The sequence below is a fragment of the Homo sapiens genome, chromosome 14 (genome assembly GCF_000001405.40).
Source record: "Homo sapiens chromosome 14, GRCh38.p14 Primary Assembly".
In the NCBI taxonomy this organism is placed as follows: domain Eukaryota; kingdom Metazoa; phylum Chordata; class Mammalia; order Primates; family Hominidae; genus Homo; species Homo sapiens.
The window spans coordinates 60,253,781-60,272,857 of record NC_000014.9 but is presented as its reverse complement, the minus strand read 5'-3'; the positions used below and the strand labels follow the sequence as shown (position 1 = coordinate 60,272,857).

The window sequence follows — 19,077 nt, the reverse complement described above, 5'->3', positions numbered from 1 at the left end:
GCAAAACTGAATCCAAAAGATATTAGAGAATAAACCAAGTTCTAAGAGTAAAGGTTCATGAAACTAGAATAACGTATCACCAAACTGATAATGGATATGGATATAAAGAGCATCTGAGTGTACACTTAGGGTCTTCTGTGTCTTTTTTTTTTTTTTTTTTTTTTTTTGAGACAGAGTCTCACTCTGTCGCCCAGGCTGGGATGTGGCGGCATGATCTTGGCTCCCGGCTTCAAGTGATTCTGTGCCTCAGCCTCCCAAGTACCTGGGATTACAGGCATGTGCCACCACGCCCAGTTAATTTTTTGTTATTTTTAGTAGAGATGGGGATTCATCATGTTGGCTACGCTGGTCTCAAACTCCTGACCTCAAGTGATTCCCCTGCCTTGGCCTCTCAAAGTGCTGAAATTACAGGCATGAGCCACCACACCAGCCTCCTGTGTGTCTTAAAATGTCTTCCACCCTCATCCCCCCAACACTCCCCCTAGTGTACACACATTCCTGGATACAAAGTATACACTCATACCATCTTTATAAAAAACTTGTGAGAAAAAATTCCAGCCAAGCAAGTATCTACTCATTATATTTCAAAACCAAGTTCATCTCTATATGATTTTTCATTAGTTTAACTCTAATAACATGATTTAAAAAAAGAAGTAACCTGAATCTGTAAAAATAACACATCTAGAAAAACAAAATCAGGAATATAAAGTAAAAAGAACTTAGACTTGCCCAATTATCCAACAATAGGGAGACACTTCATGTCACATGACACATCAACATCAAAGCACATATGAAACATCAAAAAAAAAAAAAAATGGAAATACCTGTCACCACAAGATTAAAGTTAAAAATTATAGGTCTATCCAATATGCGATACTGGACAAGTCCTTTGGCTTAATGTCTAACTTTCCTCATCAATAAATAAGCAACCTTGATTATTTGTCAATTACCTTGTTCTGAGAAATGTATAAAATGTTACATGAGAAGACTAAAGTTCTAGGAATACCTAGGTAAATATCATTAGTAAAGTAATACTTTAAAATCATGTGGATGGAATTCCCATTAAAAAAAAAACCTCTTATTCTCAATATCAAGATTATAAGAGACACACAAAATTATTTTACTACAGCAAGACCAGCTTGTAAGAAATGAAAAGAAAAAAGCAGCTACAAACTAGGTTACAAACTGATAACCTGATAACCTGAATTTGACCTTCACGTATTTCCTCTCCCTAGAACAACATGCATTCTCGAGTCCCTAGCAATCCTTATTGACCACATCCAATTCAATTCATATACTTTTCCACCATGGCATCAGAGTTTGCATCATTCGGTAAAGAGGACAGTATCTGTGATTCTAACAAACAGCACAATCTATGAGGCTTTACTCTAATCCAATTTTTGACTAATATGTCTGCCTCACTCTAAAGTAGCAAAACAAAATGATACCTAGTAGGCTGAATAATGACTCCCAAAGATACCAGTCCTAATCCTATAAATGTTACCTTATTTGGAAAAAAAGGTCTTTGCAGATGTGATTAAGAATCTTGAGATGGAGAGAGGATCCTGGATTATCCAGAGACCTCTAAGTGAACCCACATGTCCTTAGAATAGAGAGTCAGGGGAAGATCTGACACACACAGAGAAGGTGATGTGAAGACAGAGCAGACACAGATTTGAAGACGCTGGTCTTAAAGATTCGAGTGATGTGGCTACCAGGCAAGTGATGAGGCTGACAGCCACTGGAAGGTGAAAAAAAGCAAGAAACAGATTCCTCCTTAAAGCCTCGGGAGTGAGCACATTCTTGGTGACACCGTGATTTTGTCCCCGTGAAAATGATATTGAACTTGTGGCCTCCAGAACTGTGAGAATAAATCTGTATTGTTTTAAGCCACCAAGTTCGTGATAATTTGTTATAGCAGCCATGGAAATTAGCAGAATGCCCAATAGTCAAGTTCTTCTGTTGGGAAAGAAAATCTGCCAAACTTGTAAAGATGAAAATGTGCAGTAATTTCAACAAGCATCAAGAGACAAATCAAGAAAGACAAAGTTTCTTACCTGTAACAGGTTAATAGGACAAAATCCCTATCATTTCTCTCAAAAATAATGAAATATGATAACTAAAATAATCAGTAATTTCAACAAGCATCGAGAAAAATCAAGAAAGACAAAGTTTCTTACCTGTAACAGGTTAATAGGACAAAATCCCTATCATTTCTCTCAAAAATAATGAAATATGATAACTAAAATAATTTAATATAATTCAGCCTGTTAAATTCCAAGGGGGAAAGAGGTAATGGTATCCTAGTATAATGACAGAACAGGCAAGGAGTAGCTAGTTATTTTTGGGCAAACAACAGAGAAAACTGCCACCCTTTAAGTAAAAAAGCAGAAAAAAATTTATAGAACCCATACAAAAATTCTGAAATAAAAAAGTAACTAAAAAAGTACTCAAGAACATGATGTCACAGTCTAAAAGATTTACCTTAGAAAACTAGGTGACAACTTACATATAAGAAAATTTTAAAAAACCTAATTTGTGAAACAGGGATGAAAAGAAACCAGAATATAAAAAGTATCAACAGAGCTTTTAAAAAAAGATATTTCAGAGAAAAAATATCATTGCAATATTTTAAATGTCATGAAAAGCAATAATGAGGAATGAAGACACTACAGCAAACAATCTGCAAGGGGTAAAAACGAACAGGACAAAAATCATCCAGTATGCAAGTAAGCATAAAGAAACAAAAACAAGTAGACTTGAGAAAAGATACAAACAATGCAGATCCAACAGCTCAATTAGCACATTGTAAATAAGAAAACCAAATAATGGAAGAAAAATTAAATTTCAAAGGCAGAAGAAATAAATCATAAACTAAAGACTGAACTTGGTGATTGAATGGCGTTTATCAAGTACTAGATACATTTAGTAGAAACTGACCAATACCGAAGCATAATTTGAAGATTACAAATTTTAAGAATACAATTCAGACAAAATAAACATGCCATCGGCTGGGCACGATGGCTCACGCCTATAATCCCAGCACTTTGGGAGGCCAAGGCAGGAGGATCACCTGAGGTCAGGAGTTTGAGATCAGCCTGGCCAACATGACAAAACCCCATCTCTACTAAAAATATAAAAATTAGCCGGGCATAATAACGCACGCCTGTAATCCCAGCTACTCGGGAGGTTGAGGTAGGAGAATCACTTGAACCCAGGAGGCGGAGGCTGCAGTGAGCCTAGATCGCACCATTGCACTCCAGCCTGGGTGACAGAGCAAGACTGTCTCAAATAAAAAAAATAAAATAAACATGCCAAAAAAGAAAAAGAAAAAAGAAATCAGGCTGGTCCCAGACTTCTTTGCAACATCAGATGATAGGCAACGAAGTAATGCCTATAAACGTTGAGGATAAAGAGGTTTTATTCCAAGAATACTACGACCAGCAAGGTTGTCATTTATATGTAAACGCAATAAGAAGACATGAAGAAGACATGATCAAATATGCCAGCACTAAAGTAGTGTTATCCATGTTTCATTTCTGAAAAAATAAACTATTTAAAGATAGATTCATGCAATCAAGAGACTAATCAAAACCAAGAAACTCAAAAATAAAGATGTCAGTATAAAAGTACTTTGTTGTGGTCGAAATACACTAGGCAAAAAAGATACCAAGAATTGCAATTTCAATTTCAGACAAAGTAAATCACAAGGAATAAAGCAATAAACAGAATAAGAGCCATGTTTTAAATTGGTAAAAGATGTGGTCCAAAATTTCAAGACTATATATTCTGTTCAAACACACTTAAAACATTAATTGAAAAATCAAATAATTATTGGATTATATGTTGGAAAGAAAAGCTTATAGATTTCTAACACACTCCCCCATCCTACCCCACAGACCAAAAAAAAAAAAAAGAAAATGAAATAATGAAATGACACATCTGAATTATACATTAATAGTAGATATTGATAATGTGTAAAGAAAGAAGAAAACCTCAAACGTGGAAATTGCTTAAAAAGTAAGCTCCTACACCAGTTTTTTGCATTGAGTTTACATATTTCTACAATTATAGAATATTTAGAAACAATAATGAGAAAAATCTCCTATCAAATTCTGAGATGTGACCAAACCTTATTAAGAAACCTCACCTTTAAGCCAGCAATAGTGTGTTGAAAATAGAAAAAAAAAAATTCACACTTAGTTAAAAAAACCAGTATACTAAAGAAAATCAGTATACTAAATATTCAACCTAAAAAGAAAAATGAACCACACACACATACAAAATAAAATAAAAGCTGAAGGAATATATTACGTAAAATTATAGTACATGTTATATGTGAAAAAAATAAAATAGGTAAGCCACTAAATAGTCTAACTAAAAAAATTATTTAAAATTAGAAGCCAAACAGGCTATACTCACCTCACAAATAGAATTTTATTGTTGTAAAATAAATCACTCTGTACAATTCTCTGTTAATAAATTTGAAAATATGGAGGAAAGTAACAGTTCTCGGAAAACAAATTTTTTTTTTTTCAATTAGTGCTAGAGTGAAGACCAGAAACCTGGAACAATATGAGAAAGTTATTAAAGAACTATCCCTCAAAAAACTTCAGAGCTCATGAAAAACAAAATGCAAAAAGACTAAAGAACCACTCCAGGTTAAAGGAGACCAAGGAGGTCACAACAAACTGTAATATGTGATTATGGACTGGCTTGGATGAAGGCAAAGGGTGAAGGAATGGGGAGGGGAAGATTGTTATAAAGGACATTACTGGGACAACTGATAAAATCTGACTATGGATTGTATATTAGATAATAGTATTGTATGAATGTTAAATTTCCTAAATTTGATAATTGAACTATGGTTATGTAAGAGAAAGTGATAGTCCTTGTTCTTAGGGGACACACATTTAAATATTTAAGAGTAAAGGTTCATGATGTCCATACTGAGTCTTAAATGGTTCAGCAAAACTAAAAAATAACAAAATGTGTGTGTGCATGCCAAGAGAATATGAATACATATATGCACATACACAGGGAAAAAAGTCTGTAAAACTAATGTGGAAAAATGTTAACAATTGGCCATTTAAATAAATATGGAAGTTCACTGTATTATTTTTGCAAATTTTAAATTTGGATTGTTCTCAAAATAAGCTATTAAAAATAAAAGTGCATCAGGCAAGACTATTTCAAAACAAGATCCTTCAAGCCCTAAGGAAACATGTAACTCTCAAATTACCTAAGTTATCTATAGATTACAGGAAAAAAATTTCCAATTCTTTTTACAAACCTATCATAATCCTTCTATAAAATTTGACAAAGACAGCACTAAAAAAATAAAACTATAGTCCAAACATACTTATTAATACAGATGCCAAAAAGTCAGTAAAATATATATTACAAATCACCAAATAGGGATCATTTTAGGAACGTAACAATGAGCCAACATTAGGCAGCTGACTAATGTAAGTCATCTTTTTAAAAGTTAAAAACAATCCATATGATCATCTCATCATATTCTGAAAGGGATTTGATAAAATTTATTCCTTAATATAATACTTACTTCAAGCCAAAGAGGAAATCTCAGTACTAGAACAATTCCCAGGAAAGAAAAAAGAACAAGGACACCAACTCTTATCCCTGTAACTCAGCAATGTGTAGAAATAATGGTTATTGAGATAAGCCAAGGCTAACAAAAAGAGGCATAAAATTATAAGGAGATCAACTATTTGCAGTTAATGACATGATGGCAAACTCAAAACCTGAAATGATAGGGAAAAAAATACTCAATAAGATTATTTGACTATAGAAAACCATATATGAAAATGATTAACAGTAATCACTTAGAAAGTTAAAACAGAAATAAAAGTATATCTAAATAAATAACAAGAAATAGAACCTTTTTAAGAAGAGGGCTTCAGAATAACACACACTTCTTTTTCTTGGATAGGAAGATTCAAAATTGTGAAGATGGTTATCCTCCCTTTATTTAATCTATAAATTCAATATAATCACAACTGGACCTTTTTGTTCCCAGACCTTGATTAAATCATTTCAAAATATATATGAATAAATGTGAATAGCCAAAACATTCTTAAAATCATGAGAATCTGCAATACCTGATATTTAAACTTGATTCCAAATTATAGTATTTAAGAGGCAATACTAATGCAGGAATAAATTTATCAGTGGAATAGAACTGAGAATCCAGAAAGAGCTCTCTGGGAACAGAGAGATTCAATAATGGGTGCCTGAAAGCTGATCTTTTCCACTCCTGCCCTCCAGTGGTGGGTAGCTGAATCCCTTCAACATCACACCTTAAAATAAATACCAAGAGATTAAAGATTGAAGTCTGAAGTATTAATAATAAAACAATACCAGTAGATGTATGCAAATATTTCTGTAATCTTATGGTAGGAAAGGACTTTCTAAGGATGACAAGAAAAGACTGATTCCAAAGGAATAAGAAAAAGTGACTCCAGAGAAAAGAAACTCCTACACTATAAAATAAAGCTCATTAACCTGAAAAGCAAACGTCTTTTAAGCATCTGCAATATATACACAAAAGTTAACATTACTACAATATACAAACAGCTATTTTAAAAGACAATAAAAATGAACACCTTAAAGGAAAAGAAATGGGCAATGAATGTGAACAGGCAATTAAATAAATAAAAGAATATAAATGGGTAATAAATATATGGAGCAATGACCAATCCTGCTAGCTATTAAACACAAATTTGTTTTTTATACATTACCTTCTCAAAGATTAAAAAATTATTACACCCAATATTGGCAAAGGAATAAAAAAATATACCTCTCATAAGTAGGAGAGTCAACTAGTATCTTTCTGAAGGGTATGTAGGATATACATTGATTTTAAACATTGACTTCTGCTATGATTTGAATGTCACCTCCAAAACTCATGTTGAAATTGAATTGTCATTGTGACAGTAATAACCAGTGAGTCCATAAAAAGTAACTGGGTGATGAAGGCTCTGCCCTCATGAATTGAGTAATGCCCTTATCTTAGGAGTGAGTTCCTGGTAAAATCGAGTCTGGCCCCGTCTTGCCCTTGTTTGCACTTGTGCTCTCTTGCATTCCTGCCTTCCATCTGGCAAGAAGGCCCTCACCAGACGCAGCCCCTCAATCTTAGACTTACCACCCTCAGAACCAAGAGCTATATAAACTTCTATTATTAATAAATTACCCAGTCTGTGATATTCTGTGATAGCAACACAAAATGGACTAACTTCCAACCAAATGGATTTGTATATTCACTTTTGAAATGTATCTGTTCCAAACATTTTAATGTATGTTAAATATTTATTAACTATACAAACAAAATATTAAAAAAGACCAAGCCACTGAACTCTTTAAATACAAAGCAGTTTTTGAAGCTAAAACTGTGAGCCTTCTGGGCTCAAGTAACAGAGATGGCCAAAAGTCCACATCCTGTAGGGATAGTAACAGGGACTAAAAAGGTACCCATGCATGGCTGGGATAGAACTCAGGCTCACTGCTTGAAACCAATACCTAGGGTGGAGAGGCTCTTCCAACCAATGAAAGGAGCCAGAAAAAGCTACTACTAACCATTGCATGGGGCTACGGTTTAGATGAAATTATGTGTCCAGTGAGAAGAAATATAGATCTTAGTTTGTGTCTTATTCTTGGAAAGAGAAGCCTGATCCTGATGTTACCAAGAATCAAGGGAATCAAGCCTCCAATATAAAGATGTGGTTTTAGACAGAGATGTAGGTGCATGTAAAAACACTGGATAAGAAGAGTGAAAAAGAAAACACAACAAAAACTTCCAGTCAATAGGAGACTGCAAAAGCAAACTCAAAACACACAAAGAAAACTAAACTAAGATGGACAGCCAATAAAATCAACAACTGTAATTCATTCTAGAAGAAAAAATGACAATCTGAAAATAATTTCAAATGTTAAAAGGAAGCCACAATAGTCATTAAAGGAAGAAAAATTAAAAATAGGCAGAAATCAAACCAGAATAGGTGGCTATTAGAGAGACAGCCTGAATATTTAAAAAAAATTCACTGGAACTGAGGCCACATAAACTCTAGCTGGACAAAGTCAAAGTGTGAATTAGTAAATTAGAAAATGATACTGAGGAACCACCTAGAACATAATACAGAGACTAAGAAGGAATATTGGAAAATGAATATTCAAAGATATGAAGGCTAAGGAATTTTCTAGAAACAAAGAAAGATATGAATCTTCCCATCAACAATGTATTTCAAAGAGGAGCTATGGATAAAACAACATACTTAAGCATATCATAGAAATGTGTTTAGAATATCAAGTATGGCAAAATAAAACAAATATTAACATGTCACAGTTATAATATGCAAGGCTCTGTTCTAAGTGCTTTAAAACTTAATCCTCATTACAACCCTATGACACAGATACAATTTTATATCCATTTTGAACTTGCCCAAGGTCACACAGTAAGTAGTGGTGACAGAATAAAGAAAAGAAATCTTTTAAAAAACTACCAGAAAAAAAAAATTACATACAGAAGCATAACAATTAGGCAGAGATCGAACTTCTCAGAGATCCAAGTTTGCCAAGTTTCACAAGACAATGAAATAATATACTGAGGTTGCTGATGGGAGGAAACCTATCAACCAAGAATTCCCTATCTAGCTGAAAAACAAAGTAATGCATAAAATATACTTTCACACAAAAACTAAGGACATTTACAAGCCAGCCTCTTACTAAAAGGATTACTAAAGGATGTACTTCAGCAAGAAGAAAAGTGGACTCAGAGAAGATGCAAGGAACAATAAGTAAAGAAACTGGTAAAAATACTGGCTAATTAAACAAGTTATTGAGTATAAAAAGGAAAATGAAACTCTTTTATGCTAAAAAAAAAAAAGTAGAAATTACATTGTAGGCAACTATACAGAGGATGGAGAAATATTCGGTTTAATCAAATATTAGCTCATAAAAAAAATCACCAAATACAGAAAGAAACAAACTACCTTAAGTACAACTTCCTAAGGACTTCCGATATTGGAATTAGCAAACATAAGATAGTACATCTATGGACAAAATGCCCAACAAGGTATTTTTTGAAAACTAACGAAAAATAAGAAACTATAAAAAAATTATCAGGCAGACCAAGAAAGAAATATTACTTTCAGAAATAAAAACAATTGGGTGGGAGAGGGTGAGGGTTGAAAAACTACCTATTGGGTCCAACCTTCAGTATTTGGGTGATGGGTACACTAGAAGCCCAACCTCCACCATTATACATGCTATATCCATGTAACAAGCATATGCACACCTTTGAAGCTAAAAAAATAAAATTTAAAATGTTGATATTAAAAACTCAAAGGATGAGTTAAATAGATTAGATACAAATGAAGTAAACTAGACAACTGAGTTGAAGAAATAAAATAATAAAGTTGCCATTTGGGAACTGCTCAATAAATAAGTAAATACATAAAAGTATGTTCACTTCAAAAAACCTACAAAGGCCAAGGGAAAGGGGAAGATAAAAAAGAAAATCAAATTCTCCATCAACAGTAACATAAATCGTCCATAGAAGTAGGCTCTAAGAATTTAAGATGTGCACATTAGAGTGCCCTTGAAGCCCAGGAACTTTTTTTTTTGAGACGGAGTCTCCCTCTGTCACCCAGGCTAGGAGCAGTGGTGCCATCTTGGCTTACTGCAACCTCCACCTCCCAGGTTCAAGCAATTCTCCTGCCTCGGCCTCCTGAGTAGATGGGACTACAGGCGTGCACCACCACGTTCGGCTAATTTTTAAGTTTTTTATTAGAGATAGGGTTTCGCCATGTTGGCCGGGCTGGTCTTGAACTCCTGATCTGCCCACCTAAGCCTCCCAAAGTGCTAGGATTACAGGCGTGAGCCACCGCACCCAGCCAAAACCCAGGAACTATTCATGTCAATTCCCTGCAACATGGCTAAGGTAGTAGTAAAGTTTAACATTTATTGCACTAAGAGAATCAGAAAATACCAGCACAATGATAGTGCCTTACTTTATGCAGCACAGCTTAGTCTTGTTTAACAAATACTCTTCTGTTCTCATATTTTCTATATTCATGATTTATATTTAAATCATAGCAATCTTTAAATCCCCACATGTTCAGAGGTAGAAGGGTTTTTTTGTTGTTTGTTTGTTTGAGGTAGGGTGTTGCTCTGTCACCCAGGCTATAGTGCAATGGCACGATCACAACTCAAACTATAGCGTGGAGCTCCTGGGCTCAGGTGATCCTCTCGTCTCAGCCTCCCAAGTAGCTGGGAGTATAGATGTGCCACCACGTCCAGCTAATTTTAAAAATTTTTTTGTAGAGACAAGGTATCACTGTGTTGCCCTGGCTGGTCTCAAACTCCAGGGCTTCAGCAATCCTCCCGCCTCGGCTTCCCAAAATGCTGGGATTACAGGCTTGAGCCACTATGCCTGGTTTTCTATTAGTTTGCGGTTCTAGAAAGTCCCTCCAATTTCCCTCAGCACTAAAAATATTTTCACAGACTTCTATGTTTAAATACTCCTCTAATAATGCTCAGTCCTGTAGATTAGCCAGTTAAATCAACAAATACTCATTTCTCCTATAATACAGATCATCTATAAAACAGGAAGATTTATATAGAGGAAATCTTTTGTAAAGAAAGAATCCTTGGTTATTAAAAACAAATTATATATAGACATTTTGTAAACTTGGTTTCTACTACTATAAACATTCAGATAACACATTTTATCTATTAAATAATGAATATCAATTATTCTGAAGAAAATATAACCTATCTTTATCACCTGTTCCTTAAAAAATTAAGTATAAGATATTGTAGGCAGTATTTCTGATAAGAAACTGAATACAGAATTTAAAATATATAATCATCCTAGTAGTCAAATATAGGTACCAACAGTCTAACAGTGTGTATTCCCCTCCCCCTAAATTCCAGTCTGCTTACTATAGGACTTTATTGACTTTACACCTATATGTGATTTATCACTCTTCTTGGGGCACTTTAACTGAATGCCCCTAAAATCTCAGGAACAATTCTGATCTAATCAGAAAGGCTTTGATCTATAAAATCAAGGTATGATTTTCTTTGGAAGCTGCAATTTCTCATTTAGCTCCATTTTCTGGATAAAAAGTGAACTAAACAGCCCACTGAATCTGACAGCACCCAAAATAGGATTCTTCCCCTCCTACTTGGACCTGACGGGGATGGTGCCATTTAATCCTCTGGAAGATTTATCTGAAAAATAATCCCAAGGTGATATGGGTTTCCTACTCTGTACTGGTTCCAATCCAAAGATGTTGGAACAAACCAAAGAGAACACATGATTATGGTCAGCTGTAAAATTCCTACACAAGGTTCTAGAAAGAAAATATCTTAAGGATACTAAAGCTCATCAAAAAAGGGGGCTATCCTTTGTGCTTCACTGACATATGCCTAAAATTCAAAATTCAGGACAAAATATTTTAAATATTTTACCTATGTTTTATAACATCTTTGCCTTTTATTCCTTCCCTCTAGGTTTTATTCCCTCTTAAAACAGCCTCCAAGATTTATTCTGATGCCAACAAACTCAGTATCCTTGAATTTTTAATGTCTCTTTCTAATCCTGCTCTTATCACTTTGCCCCTCCTCAGCCTGAGCAATCTCTTCTTCTGTATCTCCTTTCTTGCTTTTAATTCTTCCTCATTCTGGACTTAGTAGGGTAGTAAGAAGGTAGACTCTAGGCAAGCCAGCTGCAAAGGTAAACATATCTCAGTAAACTCATGCAAGTCTGAGTTTAAGACTTAAGTGGTATTTTCGGGAAGTTGAGAGGCTGCTGAACAATTCACAGTGAAAAGCACCACCAGAGGTAAGGGCTAATGGTACACATTCTTTTGAGTTATAATACTAGTAAGGAGTCTGGTTCTTGGTTTAAATTGGGATGCAGTCTCTCAATAACTTAATACTTTTTCCCGGTCAGACAAGAATTGTTATTTAAGTTGTAAAAGAAGGCTAACTTATTCATAGCTATCTCATGAGACATGCAAGACACATGTAAGTGAAAAATCACTAATAAAAAGTTACCTGTATTCCATTTATATAAAATACCTAAACTAGACAAATCTATAGACAGAAAATGGATTAATGGTTGATAAGGGCTGGGAGACTGGTGAATGGGGAGTGACTGCTAATGAGTACAGGGTATCTTTTGGAGGTGATGAAAATGTTCTAAAATTAAATTGTGTTAATCGTTGCATAAGTCTGAATATACTAAAGACTACTGAACTGTAAACTTTAAATGGGTGAATGTTACGCTATGTGAATTATAAAGCAATTTTAAAAGATTACTATGATTGTATGGTTTTCTGTATCAGTATTTTATATAAAAAGGTTAAAAAACGTGACTATGGATTATACATAGCAGTATAAAAAATACTCATGCTATAGTAAATTTTTTTCAAAGGTTAAAAAAGTTACCTGAAAATTTCTCAGCTGACAAATATTTCAACTTATAGCCTTAAATAAATATTTACTTCACTTTTTCAGTTAAATATTTACTTACCCTCCTCCAACAATAAACTTTACCCAAATGAATTATAATGCAACTGAACTGTTATTGAGTTCAATGTGCCCCAAATTAAGACAATACAAAATTTCAAAAAGCAAACCAAAATCAACCAATTGAACCAACTAAAGTAAGTCGGGTAAAGCTCTTCTACGCTAAAGACCATTTTTTTTACCCCAAAATTTTTAAAAAATAATTAGTCTTTGCTAAATTAAAAGTACTCAAACCATAGTTTGCACAGATAATGGCAGCAGTTTCAATCTCACAAAGTGCAAGTGAACACACCTTGCCACTTTTGATGTTCTTCATAGGTTTCCTGATTTTTTATGTAATGTATCAACATCTTCTAGTTGTGCTGTGATCTGAAGTACATAATCCATAAGTCGTTTTCTTAAATTTCTATAAAGGCATGTATTACACAATTTTTAAAAGTAAACTTTGTAAGTATATAATTGCTAGAAAAACATCTAAGCTAAATTTAGTTGGAGAGCTCTAGTGACTATAAAAATTAGATACTGACCTATTTTCACTACAATTATAGTACAAGCAAAATACTAAAAAGACATGGCATAGAACTATTTAGTTTATAAAGTTTTCTAATAATCTTTTAGCATTTACAATCTCAATTTGCCTCATCTGTTAACTAATTCAGATTTATCAGTTTTGGATAACTTGTCTTATCCAAGTTATCTATAGACAGATCTATAGACAGAAAGTGTCTTATCCAAGTTATCCAAAACTGAAGTGGATTAAATTCCTAGTTTGCTACTTATAAATCGCCGCATATTTGAGGATTTGGACTCAAACTAACCCAGAAAACAATAACTGACTTCCTGATCCAATCCATCCTTTTTTCTCTTCCTTAAAACTAATAAACAAAACACCTCACATAGAGCATCTACAAATGTTTGCTGATAACCTTGTATACTTAAGTTGAAAGAAAGGAAAAATATAACTTATTAAACATTTAAGATGGTAAAAGATTCATTTATATATAAATACATGGGGATTCTAAATATTTTACACATATGAAATGTCCCTGCTGAAAAAAATGACCAAAAGCATTTGCCTCTAACAGACTTCAGTTGATATAATCTAACATTTTTCAAAATAGAGTCACTCACTGAGTTCATGAATTGTGACATGCAATTTTTTTGTGTATGTAGGGAGATAGATGCTGAGGAAAGAGAGAAAAAAACCTTTTCAAGTGAAAGTTCTATTTAATAGCTTAAAAAATGTGTAACCACCTACCTCCTATACTTGAATAGCCACACCTCAAATCGCATGGCCCAAAATGAACTTCTCAACTACTGCCACTTCTTAGTTCCACATCTGAGGAAACAGATCTATCCTTAGTCATAAGCTCATAGAATCCTCTATTTCCCTTATCGCAGCATTTATCTGGTGAATTATCTCTCACTTTAGATTTTAAGATCCAGGAGGAAAGAGATTATGTCTTTTTTGTTCATATTTAACACATGACACTTGACGAATACATGAGACAGATGAATAACAGCCATTATACCTTGGCTTCTCCCTTGTCAACACTGATTATCTTCTATGCAGGAAAAAGTATTTTCAGAGAAGTTGGCCGGCCAACAAACTGTATCCTACCATTTTCCATCTATAGAATACATGGTTGTCTTTTATCCCTACAAAAATATCATAGTGGATTTCTAAAAAGAAAATATTGGACCCTAAAAGAAATCTACGGCTTAATCAAAACTTGATTTTCAGATTACTGTTCATCAATGACTTTAAAAAGTTTATCAACATCATTAGATACACACTCCCATTATTGAAAAATGGCACATAAGGAAGGGAACAAAAGAGAAAAAACATAGTTATGACTAAAAGCCCACACATTTTCTTTCCCTGAGCTATTTATTTATTAATCTGCTCATTCATTCAACATTCATGGATGGATGAACTTTTTCTAAAGTTTTCTCTACACAATAAGCCAAGTATAAAGTAATTCAGACACAAACGAATTTCTGGGAGCTGGGAAATCCATTGTCAATGCATTCAATGTAGTCTAGCCAAAAATATCTCTAACTTAATCTTGGAGTTTTACTACATAAAACAAGTAATACTATTTACACTTATAGAGCTACTTATTTTACTGACTGTAGCAAACCAGAAAAGATCACACTAGATGGCTGACTAGTTGAAACACCTGCTTACTGTATCAAGAAGCATTTACGCAGAAAGAGAAAATGAAGATGACAGATATGGACTAACAAAGGGTAAGCTGTGGGTTGGTCACAAAACAAAAACTGCCACTTCTAAGATTGGCCCCTTGGCAACCAAAACAGTCTTACAGGCTGTCAGAAAGGATAATACCCTACTGCTTTACAAAAAGTGAAAATTTTATTTCCTATCTACTTAACATTCTGAGGTATGATGGCATACTGCAAAGATGTTTTTCTAAAGCCTGGTAAGTTATGAGATTCTGTTTGGAAAAACAAAAACAAAAAAATATATAGCCATCCCTTATCTTTTATCATTCACATTTTCATTTCTGAATTTTGGTAATAAAGGTAAGCACACTTCATCTTTATACACACAGTACCAAATTATGATGTGATCCTACTAGTCATGATAAAGAAAAAGGTAGTACTAAGAATCCAAGACATTCAAAGTTGGTAATGAATTATATTCTTATTCTTTAAAACAGTACAATAGACAATTCTTGAATAACATATTCTTTAAAATAATTAAGCCACCTAAAGTATAACTAAAAAAAGAATGTTTACTTACATCCCTCCCTGAGGTGGTCATATTATAGATGAATACAAAACACCAGCCTAAATTTAAAGTGATTATACATGACCCATGCTTTCTCATAGTCTGCTGTATTTCCAGCTCACATTCAATTTTCTGTCATGTGTTCATCAGAAAATGAACAGGGAGACTATAAAAATTTAACAGTCATATATTGATAATCTCTTTAAATGAATGAAACAAGACCTGTTTTTAAGGAATTTATTTTCAATAAACATTGAAGTTACCATTTATAGTATAATCTCTATTGTAAACTCAGCTAGCTTGTGTTTAAGACTATCTTCTCAGACTCACTGAGAATTTCATTTGAATAAAGGATCTGTGAAATAATTTATATCAGTGGGTTGCAAAGTAGTAAACATGAATAAAATTTTAAGCCATAAGAAAAAAGTGTGTATGGCTTGTGGAACTAATTGTATTATGGCCATATCTTATGCTTTTTTAATATTAAAAAATGTAATAGCTCTTCTTGGGGAAAATTTCTAAAGGGAGCTAACATATGATAATATACTTTTCAAACTTAGTATACACTGCCACCTCAAATCCCAACTCAATCACAAGATTCACTCTCTGGATACAATGGAACAACAGTCATACCCTTCATGTACAAAGATTTTGACCCATCACAATGGCCAAGAGACTTACTTTCCGCAGTAGCAATGAAACCGCATGGATCAACAAATTATTTCTGCAAAGTCCAAGAACATGTATTAGGCTTCTGTTAATAGCTCTGAAACTCTTGGCAAATAACTGCTCTGTTTCAAATTTCCTCATCTGTTAAGATATAGGTAGTAACAGTATCTAGCTCATAGGGCTGCTATGAAGATTTAATGAGATAATAATTGAAAATCTATTGTAATAGTCCCTGGCACATAAGAGCTCAATAATGTTAGTTATCATTGTTAGTTGCTAACGTCAAGGCTAGGAAAACATAAGAGGAACACAAAGTATCAAGAGGTCTCATTAGCATTGTTCTCTAACAAATGGATCTAAGCCGGCACTGACTGACTATATGAAATTATCCATTTAAAAAGCCAATAAATTTTACTATGTATTTTCTTTTTTCTTCTTCTTTTTTTTTAGACGATGTCTTGCTCTGTTGCCAGGCTAGAATGCAGTGATGCAATCTTGGCTCACTGCAACCTGTGCCTCCCGGGTTCAAGCAATTCCCCTGCTCAGCCTCCTGGGTAGCTGGGACTACAGGCGGGTGGCCACCATGCCCGTGCCACCACGCCTGGCTAATTTTTTGTATTTTAGTAGAGACAAAGTTTCACCATGTTGGCCAGGATGGTCTCCATCTCCTGACCTTGTGATTCACCTGCCTCAGCCTCCCAAAGTGCTGGGATTACAGGCATAAGCCACCACACCTGGCTGGTATTTTCTAAACACTGAAAATAGTCTAGCATTTTGATAAGCTTGAAAGTCTAGCTTAGAGGTTTATTTGAACACAGAGTATGCATATTATTAGATACTTGTTGGGTTCAAATTAAATCAGCTGATAGTTATCTCTCTTCTTTAACACATCATCTAATTCCTGTGATTCCACAATTCCTCTCTGGTTAAAAGGACACAAAGTTCATGATAATATTTGCAAATGTAAAATACTCTGAAAAGAGATATGTGATTATAAATGTCCTGTTAACCCTCAAAGCCAAAATGTAGGAAGTTAAAATGAAGCTTGTAGGTCCAGGATCAGTCAACCTAGTCTTCTACATCAATATAAGAACACTGCCACACTTCAGATTTGTATAATCTTCACACTTAAATATCCAGGTTCAGAAAAAATAACATTCAGGAAGAGAGTCAGAAACGTCTGCTACGATAAAGCTTGTAACTACTTCTACTACCTCCTCCTACAACAATCACTTTCACTCCAGGTAGATTTTGCTTAATACTTACCAAATATCTGAATGTCTACTATCCATAAAGCACTGTGCTAGCCGCTAGCCTTTGTGTAAAGTAAAAATTTATTTTTCCCTTTAGAATTAACTGAATGCAATTATAATTTAGACACAAATATCTAAAGGTAAAACATATGATAGGCCGGGCGCGGTGGCTCACGCCTGTAATCCCAGCACTTTGGGAGGCCGAGGCGGGCGGATCACGAGGTCAGGAGATCGAGACCATCCTGGCTAACACGGTGAAACCCCGTCTCTACTAAAAATACAAAAAATTAGCCGGGCGTGGTAGCGGGCGCCTGTAGTCCCAGCTACTCGGGAGGCTGAGGCAGGAGAATGGCGTGAACCCGGGAGGCGGAGCTTGCAGTGAGCCGAGATCGCGCCACTGCACTCCAGCCTGGGCGACAGAGCGAGACTCTGTCTCAAAAACAAAACAAAACAAAAAAAAAAAAAACATATGATAGAAATAATACACAGACATTGCTTTAAGTACAGAGAAAGGAGAGATTAAACACTCTGGGGGTCAGAGATGACTTTGTGGAAGAAGAAATATTAGAAATGAGCTTTGCTAAAAGAGAAAACCAAAGCTGGAGAAGGAAAGACACAAATTCCAGACTGCACACTAGCATGAGCAAAGATCCATGGAGAGAAAAGAGCGTGTTCCAGAGATAGCAAGTGTACTAGTTTGGTTATAACAGACTAATGTCTTGAGGTCCAATCATGGAAAGTGTCAAAAGCCAAACCAAGAATTCTGAACTTTATTCCAGAGGTAAATGGGAGTCACTGAAGTATACTGAGAGAAATGATATAATGAAAAACCATAGTTTAGAAAGAATTTTGATGGTTTATAGAATCAGGGAGGAGATGCAGTACAAGATGCTAGCAGGAAAGAGACCAGTTGGAATGCTAATATCTTGGTTTGGGTCTGCAGTAGTAAGACCCACACTATTCCAAGACAATTTTTCAGACTTAACCTAGAACTCACATATAAAGCCTTAACGCCTTTTATAAAGACTCCATTTTTAAAAAATGGTAATAACTGAGTTAATCAGAATGATTTAGTTTCCTTACTCTTTTGCATCCTTTCCTGTAGCAATGATATCTTCCTGCTCATTTCTAACCATAAACTGTAACTCCTCTTCAAAATACCAACCCTTGTCCTTCCTTACTGACTGATCATTCTAGCCTGAACATTCACCTTTGCTTTATTACTGTTACTCTTTATCCGCAATTTAACCATCTACTCCCACCTAATCATTAACTCCAAACCCTTGACATCTTGCCAGCTTTGCAGAGCCAAATAAAGCTACTCATACTCAACTTTCTCTTTCTTCTATAACTTTTAGTCTATTCAAATGCAAGCTCTCTAAACTCACAGAGTTTACAATGTCTTCTAAATTCTCTACTCAATCTCTAGTTTGGCTTCCAGGCACACTGCAAAAGCTATACTGAAAGACAACCCTCTCATACTAAGCAAGTCTCTATACCCCTAAGTATCTCAAGATTTCATATACTCAATAATAACAGCTACCATTTATTTGGCACTTTCTTCATGGTAGAAAAGATCTCAAATGCTTTATATAATTATTTCATTAAATCTTCAAGATAACCTTACGACAAAAGTATTTCCACTTGACATAAAAAAAAACAGGTTTAAGAAATCAAGTAGCTTACCCAGGAACACCTGGCTACGAAATAGGAGAACAGGGACTCAAACTGTCCTTTCTTTCAAAGGTTAGTTTTATCACCATGTCCACCACGGGGCCCTTCAATGTGGCTCTACTGATTACATCTGTTCAGAAACATTTCCCTAGATCCTTCATTAAGGATATC

At 34.6% G+C, this 19,077-nt stretch overlaps 1 protein-coding gene across 24 annotated transcripts in view; it reads right to left on the bottom strand.

Annotated features, from left to right (window-relative positions):
- Positions 1–19,077, bottom strand: part of PPM1A (protein phosphatase, Mg2+/Mn2+ dependent 1A) — a 53,338-nt gene that overhangs the window by 26,230 nt on the left and 8,031 nt on the right. For 3 of the 24 annotated variants that reach the window (XM_047431513.1, XM_047431515.1, XM_024449637.2), the window contains exon 2: positions 15,992–16,034. The exons of 9 other annotated variants lie outside the window; for them this stretch is intronic. Coding sequence is in view for 4 of the 15 variants with exons in the window: in XM_047431499.1 (XP_047287455.1) it covers positions 12,848–12,905 (58 nt within the window). In the remaining 11 variants the exon portion in view is untranslated. Of the gene's footprint in view, positions 1–4,422; positions 4,566–5,566; positions 12,819–12,847; positions 13,895–15,991; positions 16,035–19,077 lie in introns of those variants that run through there. 12 more of the 24 variants (XM_047431499.1, XM_047431501.1, XM_047431511.1 and 9 more) reach the window with 10 other exon arrangements.